The sequence below is a fragment of the Homo sapiens genome, chromosome 1, assembly GCF_000001405.40.
Source record: "Homo sapiens chromosome 1, GRCh38.p14 Primary Assembly".
Taxonomy (NCBI): domain Eukaryota; kingdom Metazoa; phylum Chordata; class Mammalia; order Primates; family Hominidae; genus Homo; species Homo sapiens.
This window is the reverse complement of record NC_000001.11, coordinates 170,964,234-170,976,774: the sequence shown is the minus strand read 5'-3', so window position 1 is coordinate 170,976,774 and position 12,541 is coordinate 170,964,234. Positions and strand designations below refer to the sequence as shown.

The 12,541-nt window shown below is 37.2% G+C and overlaps 1 protein-coding gene across 4 annotated transcripts in view; it reads right to left on the bottom strand.

The window, feature by feature from the left end:
- Nucleotides 1-12,541, bottom strand: part of MROH9 (maestro heat like repeat family member 9) — a 129,232-nt gene that overhangs the window by 87,991 nt on the left and 28,700 nt on the right. For all 4 annotated transcript variants that reach the window (NM_001163629.2, XM_011510006.3, XM_011510005.3 and 1 more), the window contains exons 7-8: nt 11,520-11,624; nt 4,892-5,027 (exon numbers count right to left, since the gene is read on the bottom strand). In NM_001163629.2, coding sequence (NP_001157101.1) covers nt 4,892-5,027; nt 11,520-11,624 — 241 coding nt within the window. The remainder of the gene's footprint in view (nt 1-4,891; nt 5,028-11,519; nt 11,625-12,541) is intronic.

Here is a 12,541-nt window from a genome sequence, read left to right as displayed (position 1 = left end):
TCAACAGTCAAATTCAGGAAATACAGACAACCTCTGCACAATTCTACATCCCCAAGACACATAATCATCAGATTCTCCAAGGTCAAAATAAAAAAAGAAAATATGTTATCATTTTTTTATATGCCTCAGCCTCCTGAGTAGCTGGGATTACAGGCACACACCACCATGCCCAGCTAATTTTTGTATTTTTATTAGAGACGAGGTTTCACCATGTTGGCCAGGCTGGTTTCAAACTCCTGGCCTCAATTGATCTACCCACCTCAGCTTCCCAAAGTCCTGGGATTACAGGTATGAGCCACCATGCCTGGCTTCAACATTCTTAAAAAAAAATAAATTCCAACCAAGAATTTCATATCTGGCTCAACTAAGCTTCCTAAGTGAAGGAGAAATAAGACCCTTTTTAGACAAGCAAATGCTGAAGAAATTCATTACCACTGATCTGCCTGATAAGAGCTCCTGAAAAGGGCACTAAATATGGAAAGGAAAGACCAGTACCAGTCACAGCAAAAATACACTGAAGTACACAGACCAGTAATACTGTAAAGCAATCACACGAACAAGTCTGCGTAATTAATCAGCTAACATCATGACAGGATCAAATCCATAAATAACACAAACCTTGAAGGTAAATGGGCTAAATGCTCCAATTAAAAGGCACAGAGTGGCAAGCTTAATAAAAAACAAAGACCCAATGGTATGCTGTCTTCAAGAGACCCATCTCACATGTAATGACACTTACAGGCTCAAAATAAAGAAATGGAGAAAAACCTACCAAGCAAATGGAAAACAGAAAAAGGCTGGGGTTGCAAACCTAATCTCAGGCAAAATAGACTTTAAGCCGACAAAGATCAAAAAAGACAAAAAAGGGCATTTACATAAATGATGAAGGATTCAATTCAATGGGAAGACTTAACCATCCTAAATAAATATGCACCCAACACAGGAGCACCCAGATTCATACAGCAAGTTCTTAGAGTTCTTCAAAGAAACTTAGACTCCCACACAATAATAGTGAGAGATTTCAGCATCCCACACAATAATAGTGGGAGTCTTCAACATCCCACTGGCAGTATTAGATCATTGAGGCAAAAAAGGTCATTTTCTTAAGTGAAATAACTCAAAACAGAAAGTCAAATACCACAGGTTCTCACTACATAATGTGTACACATGGGCATACAGAGCAGATTAATAGACATTAGAGACTCATAAAAGTGGGAAGGTGAAAGGGGAGTGAGGGATGAGAAAGGACCTAATGGGTAACATGTACACTATTTAGGTGATGCTTACTACTGAATATATCCATGCAACAAATCAGCATTTGTACCCCCTAAATCTATTCAAAAAAGAATTGTTATGTCTCCTTAATTAATCGATCCCTTTATCATTATGAAATGACTTTCTTTTCCCTGGAGGCATTCTTATCTCTAAAATATATCTTTTTATAATAATAGAATATAGCCACTCCAATTTTCTTTTTATTATTGTTAACATGTTATATCATTGTCTAACTTTTAACATTTAATTCATGTATGTTTTATATTTAAAGTGAGTTTCTTGTAGGCAGCATATAGTTGAGGCTTGCTTTTTATTCAGTCTGACAATCTGCCTTTTTACTTGGGGTATTTAGAATATTTACATTTATTATGATTGGGTTAAAAATTTGTCTTGATTATTTGTTTCCTATTTTGTGTTATCTGCTTTTTTTCTATTCTTTTTTGCCTCATTTTAAATTATTTTCTATGATTCCATTTTAGCTCCATTTTGGCTTAATATATATAACTTTTTGCTATATTATCTTAATGGTGGCTTTAGGGTTTAGATGATACATCCTTAACTTATTAGTTTACTTTCAAGTGTTATTTTATAACTTTGTGCATAGGAGAAGAATTTTAAAACACATTTATACATTTTTCCCTTTAAGTTTTTGTGTTGTTTTTATATATTTTACTTTTGTTATTATCTTTAAAGAGTTGATTATCATTTAAAGAGATTTAAATAAGAAAGATAAATGAATATTTATCTATATTGCTGAAGTTTTCCAGTGCTCTTCATTCCTTTTTGTAGATCTAGATTTTCGTCTGGTATAATTTCCTTTTCTAAAAGAATTTTCTTTAACATTTCTTGCAGTTAAAGATCTTATGGTAATTAATTCTACCAACTCTTGTATATCTAAAATGTCTTTATTTTACTTTTTATTTTGAAAGATATTTCTACTGGTTTAAGGATTCTAGATTGACTTTTTTTTTCTTTTCTGTATTTTATGATGTTCCTTCATTGCCTATAACTTGTGTCATTTCTGGTGAGAAATCTGCTGTCACCCTTATCTTTGTTTCTCTATATGTAATGTCCTTTTTCCTCTTTGGCTCCTTTTAAGATTTTTTTCTTTATCACTTGTTGTAAGCAATTTAATTATGATGTGCCTTGATGTTCTTTTCTTCACATTTCTTGTTCTCTGCTGAGCTTTTCAGTGTGTGAGTTTATAGCTTTTATTACATTTGAAAATTTTTCAGTCATTATTCTTTAATTTGTTTTTCTGTCCTCACTTTCTCACTTTCAGAGACTCAAATAAAATATGTATTAGGCTCTTCAGAGACTCATATTAGACATGCCTGATAGCTCACTGATGCTCTATTTGTCTGTCATTTATTTCTCTGTTTAAATTTTGATAATTACTATTACTATGTCTGCAAGCTCATTAATCTTTTCTTCTGCAAAGTTTTTGTTAATCCATGCCAGAGAATTTTTCTTCTCAGATATTGTAATTTTTACCTCCAGAGGTTCAATATAAGTCTTTTAGGAGTTTTTCTGTCTCTACTTAAGATGTTTTTATCTTCTAATTCCTTTAATAAGTGGAATGTAGTTATAATAATTCTTTTAATGTCACACTCTACTCATTCTATCATCTGTGCCATTTCTCTATCGCCCAGGCTGGAGTACAGTGGCACGATACCAGCTCACTGCAACCTCTGCCTCCCAGGTTCAAGCAATTCTCCTGTCTCAGCCTCCTGAGTAGCTGCGATTACAGGCACGCACCACCATGCTCAGCTAATTTTGTATTTTTAGTAGAGACGGGGATTCACCATTTTAGCCAGGCTAATCACGAACTCTTGACCTCAGGTGATCTGCCCGCCTCGGCCTCCAAAAGTGCTGGGATTACAGGCATGAGCCACCGTGCCCAACCTAATAATTTTTTTTAAATTGGATTTCAGACATTGTTAATTTTAACTTGTTGAGTGCAGGAACTTTTTTTTTTATTTCTAGGGGTATTCTTCAGCTTTGTTTTGGTAGGTAATTAAAATATTTGGAGATAGTGATACTTTTAGATCTTGTTTTAAGGCCTTTTTAAGTAGCACTAAAACAGTTTAGGATGATTTTTTTTCTCCTAATGAGACAAAACCCGTCTGAGTACTGTACCTCGGTACTTGTGAATTATAAGGTTTTAAATTCTGGCTTACAGGCACAGGCATTATCACTAGCCTTTGTTGAGCACTGAATCTTTTTCTCTAATCATTTTTGTTGTTTCCTACCCTTCAAACTCAGGCAGTTTACTTGCATGCATGTTCTCATTAGTACTCAGCTAAATACTTAAAGGGGGCTCTCTTTAGATCTCTGCAGATCTCGAGTTTGTGGGTTTGTGCGTGCGTGTGTGTGTGTGTGTATGCGTGTGCATGCACTCATGTACTCCGTTCTGGTACCCTGGCCTTTCAACCCTAGCTATTGACCTCTCTGGACTCCCATTTCTGTCTTTTTAACTTGATGAGACCACTGGCTTATCTCTTTTTGTGTTGGCTCTTAGAAATGTACTCTAGGTGGTAAGCTCAGGCAATTACAAACCCCACCTCATTCGTTCTCACCTCCTCATCTTTCAAGAGTCATTGTCCTTTATTATTTAATGTGCAATGAATTGAAAACTCTGTGTGTGTGTGTGTGTGTGTGTGTGTGTGTATTTTTTTTTTTTTTTTTGAGGCGGAGTCTTGCTCTGTCACCCACGCTGGAGTGCAGTGGCATGATCTCGGCTCACTGTAAGCTCTGCCTCCTGGGTTCACGCCATTCTCCTACCTCAGCCTCCTGAGTAGCTGGGATTACAGGTGCCTGCCACCACACCCGGCTTATTTTTTTGTATTTTTTAGTAGAGAGGGGGTTTCACTGTGTTAGCCAGGATGGTCTCGATCTCCTGACCTTGTGATCCGCCCACCTCAGCCTCCCAAAGTGCTGGGATTATAGGCGTGAGCCACTGTGCCTTGCCAAAAACTATGTATATTTTTAAGGTTGCTTACTATAGGAGTGTAAATAGAGTAAATGTGTTCTCTGTTATTACATCCTGGACAGAAACAGAGGCATAGCCTCCATAGACAGAGGCTCCACCCCTTACAAATATACAAATATTCTTAAGCTTTGTTCTAAAATGCAATTAAATTACTTGGAAATAGCTTAATACTTTCAGGTCTTGCTTTTATGCTTTGTTAGACAAGCCACAGCAACATTTATTTTAATCCTAGTCTTATTTTTCTCCACCATTGAAGCAAGAATCTTCTGAGTAGTCTATCAGATACTCAATTAGACAGAAAAAAATACCGCATTTTTAAAGTCCCATTGGTAAACTCTCTCCTTCTCTGTCCTCCCTGGATCCACCCAGCATTCCTCTCCCTACCATTAACCCTCAAGTAATCTAAGCACAGTACTTTATAAATCTTGAAGAACCAACCACACTATTACCAAAATTTCTTGACAATGCTAAAAAGATTAAAAGACACATTTTAGAAAGTATAGCCATGACTCTTGGGGCAGGATTTAGAAATTAACAGACGTAGAGCCTTCCCAGGACCTATAAGTTGAATAACGAGGGACATATTCTTAGTAATCCTGAGAAAAGATGGTGAACTGTTCTTACCGTTCTGACACCGTGCAATGTAGAGGAGGTGACACATTCCCAATGATGCTTGTTTTACAATCGAGGGATCTTCATGGGAACACAAAAGAGACAGCTCTGCTGCCAGGAGACCCAAACATGGAGCATCAACACTTATCTAATGGAGAAACAAAGGAGAACATGCATTTGCTATGCATAGCCAATATGAAAATGTCTGCATGCATCTGATCCTGTTATAAATCAGACTAGGATTCTAAGATAAGCTTCAGAGTTTACAATATCTGTAATCAAATCCTGGCCCCGTTACTGACTCTCAATTTCCTCATCTGTGAAATGAAGACAATAAATTCCACTTTGTAACAGTTATTGTGGAGAGTAAGGGGTAACACTGATGACAAGAAGAAAAATTCCTAGGAAAGTACTTGGACATAATGGTGACTCAACTAATGTTAGTTTCTATGCCATGAAGTGGGTAGTCACTTGCAGGTAGCAAATTCCCAGGACATAGAAAAGTAAGGTGGGCTGTGTATTTCCAAAACCTTTAGTACTTCCTTCTTCACATACGAAACACTAGATGTTTCTACAAGTCACTGAGGAGGCATGCCACTTTTCCTCTGGAAGTTATTCTGACTCCTCTCAAGGGAATTCATTTTTTTAAAATGCAGATCATTTGCTTTTGATGTCAAAGCTACTACCAAAATATTTCTGTATTTCTTTCTACAACTTCTTCAACCCTTAGACTGATCAAATATTTAGATTTTCACCTTAATGGACCTCTCTGGCTAGATAATATCCAAACAGAGAAGGGAGTAGAGAGAGAAAAGAGGAAAGGTAGAAAAGGCATTTGCTTTTATGAAAGTATGAGGGCCTTTACCAATTTTGCATGTCTTTTTTTAGACAAAGAAGGGCTCTGATTAAATGTAGATTTGGCAAACTAGCAGCATGACTTGCAGATAGTTCTTGCCTCCAAGACAAGTGAGTACTTTTCCTAGGTAGAGGCTTTGATGATTGGAGCAATTGTTGATGGTAAACTCTAGGGGGATCCCAAGGCCTGCTTCTGCTTCTGTTGACCTTTTTCATGCCCCATTTTCCCTGCCCTTTATGTGGCTTAACTCACCACTCCCTGCCCACTCTGTCTCTCTCTCTCTCTCTCTCTCTCTCTCTCTCTCTCTCACACACACACACACACACACACACACACAGAAATTCCTAAGGAAGAAATATGAAGTGACCTGGGTCATCTAGGTCATGGGCGAAGGCCATAATTGAATTGTGATGTGGGGAGTGATGATCTCAGTAGGAGAAGAGAGATTATAAATCTCTTTTTTTCCATGGATATTCTCCTTGCATTCTTTTCCACCCGTACAAAGAGTGGCCTGGTCCTTCCCCTTATAGGAGCTCTGTGGCTTTGGAGAATCTGGGAGCAGACAGCCTCTGCTCTAGGCCCTAGGGGGAAATGCTCTCTTTGCCTGAATGTCCTTTTCTTTGGGTTTGCATTCCAAGTTTTTTTTTTTTCCCACTCGATGGCAAGATCTTAAAACCATCATTGTGTATGGGCATGAGAAAAAGGATCAAGTTTTCTCTCTCTACTGGGTATGAGAGAAGAGTAGTACTTCTCACAGCTTACCTCACTGAAGCTGAGCACCACTTACAGGGGATTGGCCTTACAGTCATCTTATATTACAGGTTTTGCCTCAAATGTCCTCTCTGATTATCCCTGCTCAGGAGCTTGTTAGATGTGTAGTTCTTAGTAGATGTTTTTGTAAATGAAGCTCCTAGTGGTTTCCTTCTGTTCTGTTTGCCAGTTAGGATCTATCTAGGTGTATGTCTCTAGCAGAGTATGTGTGGTCGTGCCTAGACTGCATATCCACTTACTGTCACCAACTAAAAAGGCATGTTTAGGAAGTGGGACATGACCCAAGGTAGGCTGAGAGAGGAGTAAGGCAGCGTGGATCGTGGAGCACACTGATGTATATCCTGCCAAGCCCCTTCAGAAGCGTGACAACCACAGTTACCCCTCCTCTAAGATGAGACTTTGAGAGCTTTCGGTATGATATATCCTGCCTTTATAGAAAATCTACCCAAGTACTAAAAAGAAGCAGATATTTAAAAACTGGAGAAAAGTAGCTTCTCGGTATTCACTCCTAAACCTAAGTATTCCTGCTTAGTTTTCTGGCCCTTTTAACTGTGCCCTTTCTTTGTAGATCTGGCCTCTCCAGTCCCTTATCTTAACAGTAATGATAGTGTTAAGTGCTAGGTTCCAGAAGCAACCACTTCTATGGTTTTCAGCTGCTTCTTCTGGAAGTCTCCCCTGTTTCTATAAACAATGCACCTTTGCTTCTAACATCAGTTTGAGACATTGTCTATCTCAATTCCATTCTTCCACTTCGCCACAATTCTCTCAATAGAGAACATTACTCATCATAGTATATTATTTTTAATTCTTCTACTTTTGTGTTTTACTAATATATTAATACTTTTATTTCTTGTTTCATAGAACAGAATAACAGAATAGGAATGTAACAGGATAAAACATAACAGAATAGGAACATAAGTAGAATCATACAAAATGTAGCCTTTTGTGCCTGGCTTCTTTCACTTAGTATAATGTTTTCAAGGTTTATGCATGTTGTAGCATGTATACAACTTGATTCCTTTTTTTGAGTGGATAATATGCCATATGTGTGTGTTAGATTTTATTTGTTCATTTATCTGTTGATGGACATTTAGATTGCACTTTTCAGCTACTGTGAATTTTGCTGCAATGAACACTTTGTACAAGTTTTTGTTTGAGAAACTGTTAAATTCTTTTAGGTATATACCTAAGATTTCTGTGTCAAATAGCAATTCTATGTGTAACTTGTTGGAGAACCACTAAACTATTCTCTGCACTTTAATTTTTGCACTTTTGAGCTCATAGCATTTACATTGTATTCAGTAACTTATTTAAGTTTTCCTGTGCTGGGTTTATAGATTAATTCTAAAAGTTGAAAATCAATAATATGGTCTCACCATGACTAGATAAAATTATTCAATGTATAGGCCATGCTCACTTTAGTTATATTTCCTTTTAGTATGTACCTATGTCTTTCGCATCTGTACCCTGCATTATCTCTTTATTTTATTTTTAAAATTATTTTTATTTTTACTTTTTTTGGAGATGGGGTCTCACTCTGTCACCCAGGCTGGACTGCAGTGGTGTGATCATAGCTCACTGCAGCCTAGAACTCCTGGGCTCAAGAGGTCCTCCCACCTCAGGCTCTCAAAGCACTGGGATTATAGGCATGAGCCACAAAGCCCAGCTGTCTCTCTATCTTTAATAGTAATTTTTTCTTTATTTACCCTTGTTGGTCTCTTTTATTTGGAGAGTTTCCCCAAATTTCACAAAGTGTGGTTGCTGCTTAAAATTTAAGGATGTAATGCCTCTTGATGGGGTTTTGTGTGTGAGCAAGGCTTGCCACCTGTTGTACTTTGTTTTAGAGCAACTGGGAGGGAGGCTGGGGTCATGCTGTAGTATAGCTAGACAGAATGCAAGACTCTTTTCTCAGGGAGCTTAACAATGGTTTTTGCAAAAGAAAAATTCTCAACTTCTGTCTGCCAATGTGTGTCAAGAGGAATGCGGGACAATGTAGGTTCTTCTGTACATGTTTTCAATTAATCCTTTGAATTAATGCATGTGTTTCCAGCCTGCCTTTGACTCCCAGCCCTTATCATTATTTGGCCTTTCATAACTCACTCTCTAGGGTTCTACAGGGCACACTACTTTTCTTTCAGCTAACTCCTACCCTAATGCTCATGGGTTCCCACCATTCAATTCCCCTGCCAGGTTTTATCTTCTACCTAATCTGTCTTCCAGAAATTTGTTGGCATCACTAGCCCATTGAAAACACTTCATTAATTCTTTTTGTTGCTGTGTATTTATACTTTTAAAATATTTTATTACCATCATTTTGTGGGGACTCTGGAGGAGAAGGAGATATATACACATGGGCAATTTGTTAGATTTAGCTGGAAACCCACCATCCATTTTTAAATGCTGATGTGCCAAAGGAACAAAGCTAGGAAAAAAATCTTAATGCTATAAGTTGACATGCTTAACTTACATTTCTTTGCCTGTTGAAAGTTGAACCATTTAATTGAAGGAACATGTGCTTTGAGTGCAGGAGTTTCTCTACCCTGATGGGCACATGAGTCATGTGAGACAAATCATCACTTTAAAAATGTTTATGACAAGATAAAAATGATAGAATTGTTCAATAGGACAAGAATCTCTGACACTCTGGAGGACCTAGGCTAGGGTTATTATGGAGAAAAAAGTCTATCCAGTGTAGGAACAGTACCAGATAACAAATGAGGTGGATGCACTTAGAGAAGGGTAGAACAAATATTCGTTGATGATATACAATGTGTCAGATACAGAGATACACAGACTAGGGCTGTGGGAATCTCAGATTTTAATTTGTCAACAGTGTGTTTTGATTTTTTTGTTTTGTATATTTGCCTCCCCAATTAATTTCACAGGCTTAATCATCTTTACAAGACAATATTTTAAAGAGAAAGCGAACTTACTGAAGTTTTATGCTTCCCTGATTGTGATGAGCTGGTTGATTCTAGCTCTAGTTTCAATGTTCTGGAAAATACTGAAGTACTTCCACCTGGTGGCACTTAGTGAACATTGCAGAACCGAGTAATAGGTTATTCCGTTGGGTTTCTCGAACAAATCTGAGTTATAGCTAGGAACTCTCAACTAACAATTTATGAGAACCTTCTGCTACACATGTGAATTTACATATTTATTCCTTTGCAGTTGAAGGATGGGATGTATGCAAAGGAGAATGAACTCTACTACAGTAATGGAAAGAAGTGATAGAAGATGAAACTCCAAAATGCCTATCTGCTACTTGAGTGGAACTCACTAGAATATATCAAATGCAGAGAGAAACATGTGACTAGGCTCTAGTCAAACAATTGTCATCAAATACTTGCTGAATATATAACACATTTTAGGAGCTGTGCAGAAAACAGTTTTGAGTGGTGAGATACACTTAATTTCAAGCCTCACTTGCAAAATTTTCAATGGTGAACCTTCTGGACACCAAATGTATAACTCGAGCTATTTTAGAAGTTAGAGAAAGGCTGCCTTCCCAGGTCAGAGAATCAGAAGATTGAAATAAGCCGCTCACTCTCTTTTTTGGGACACTGAAATAGGGAATTAGCATGATACAAAGAACACTCTGGACTGTGTCCCCCATCTAAGTAAATTGTATTATGTTCCAAAGCTGAGTTTAAACAAAATAGTAAAAATTCAGAGGTATTACAAAGCTGATCTAGATTCTTCATCTCAATAAATCTGGGGACTGCTTGTACAAGCAGTAGAAAATGGATAAAGATAACATCATGAATGCATGTTTCTCACCCTCTTTACTTTTATCTCCTCCTGAAGTGACTCCAGCAATCAGATAAGTAATTAGCAGAGTATGTTTACAAATCGCTGTGAAGGATGAGTTGGGAAACAGAGGCTGAATATACAGTATCCACAAAAGGGAAATGTTCATAGGTAGTATAAGGTTTTTGAGAAGGCAGGCCATGATGTCATTCAAAGTATAGACAAACTCAGTAAATACTGGTGATTATGACATACCTATTTGTTCTCCATCCGAAATGCAAAAATTAAAAAGTCTGATTGTATCCCAGTATTTGTGAAGGTGTGGGGAAATGGGCACCTTAATATTTACATGAATGCAAATTGGTGGACAATTTTGTGTTACTAAACTTTAACCTATCATACTTCTTTATCTGACCATTATCTTTCTAAGCCTTTCCAGGTACACACTCATGTACTTGCACAAAGATGCCTGTTTTGTATTGTTTGAAGCAGAAAAAAATTAAATGATACTTTAATGTCCATCAACTGAAAAATAGCTAAATGGATCATAATATGTCAAAACTATGGGCTATATACTGTATTTAAAATAATAAAATGAATCTACATATGTTGACATGAAAATGTCTATAGGATGTATTGTTTCAGTGAAAAAAAGCAAATTGTAGAACCATATGTGAATATAACTTTAGTAAAGAAACAATAAATAATAAAGCTATGTATTTCAGTGTGTGTTTTATATGTGGGTGTGCACATTGAAAGTGGTTTGTTAGGACACACATCATGCTGACATGGCTAAGGACAGGGTTGGTGTGGAGAGGATAGTAAAGGGAGATTTATGCTCTACCTCTAGCATGTTTCACAATGAAAGAACTTGAGGATTACTTGTATAAATTTAAAATAAATAACAGCTTTCAAATTATTTTAGGAAGTAATACATAAGAAGAAAGGTAAGGTTGGAAGGATTTTAAAGATTACAAATTGTGGTCTACAGAGGAAATTTCAGAGTCAGCAAGAATCTGGTTTTAACACCCTCATGCTCTTTGCATAAAGCATGATGCGTCTTAACCAATTGTTTGAGAAACTCTGTTCTGATTGACAAAAAGTCATGTGGGATATTGACTCCTTTTCTGATATCCCAACCAACCTACCAGTACAATAATACCAAGGACCTGTCAAGTACTGTTAGGACCCAAGACATGGAAAGCAGCACTATGGAAATGCAGTCTTCAGAATCAGGTGGCATTGTTATATTCTGTGACTTACGTATTTTCTGACTTTTGTGACTGTAAATCTTAACACCTTGTTGATGATCACCATTATTCTCTCTTGCAGATATGAGCTATCTTTACTCATCCACACGAGCATTTCCTGTTGGAAACATAAAAGTCATCCTAGAACCATGAAATTTCCATTTTCCAAGAACCTTTCCTCTATTCTTCAACTTCACCAAATCAGGCCTTCCTACATTCTCCTGGTTATTTCACACTTAACCTACATTTATCTCAAAAACACAGACAATAAGCATCTAGTATACTACTTCATCTACTATGGAAACTGTATCTGGGTTTTATTTTATTTTATTATATTCAAAAAGTATTTACTAATATCCACTATAATAGTCACTTTGTTAGGCACCATGAATAGTTCAGTACGAAGCTATGACATGATTACCAGCTGCTTTGCCTCCTCTTTTTCTTTCAAAGTATGTATTCTCCCTTTTATTTTTAAATGACAATCTGCCTTTCAGCTTTAAAGAGATTTAAAATCTTGTCTGATCCTGCAATATCATCTTATTCCAGAATTCCTCTGCCAATTCACCACTCAAATATTCTGGCTTATGGTTAGAGAGTACATTACCGGAGGCAGGTTGGTTAGAAAGTTCTTGCAAATTTTTTTTCAAATCTGTCTTAGCTGCACCTTCTAGCTGTTCTTAATCCTCAGAGGCAAGGACACATTTACAACCTTGAAAAGGGAAGAATACTGCATATGCCTCATATGCCAATCGCCATTAATAGCCTTCTTTAAGGCAATCTGTCAGGGTCTACTATATTTATGTCAATGGTTGGCCAAACCTCTTCACCTTTTCTTGCTCCCATTGTGAAAAATGTTTGAAGTCTATTTCCTAAGGTGAAAGAGTTTCTAAATCTCAGAGGGGTCAGCCTCTCTGCCTTGTCCTTTTCAGGAGTGAGGTTTCAGCCCTTTTTGAGAAGCAGGGAAGCTTTTAGGCATGGTAGGTATAAGAACAAAGTGGTTAAGTAACAGGCTTCCAAGCTAGAGGGGCTCCT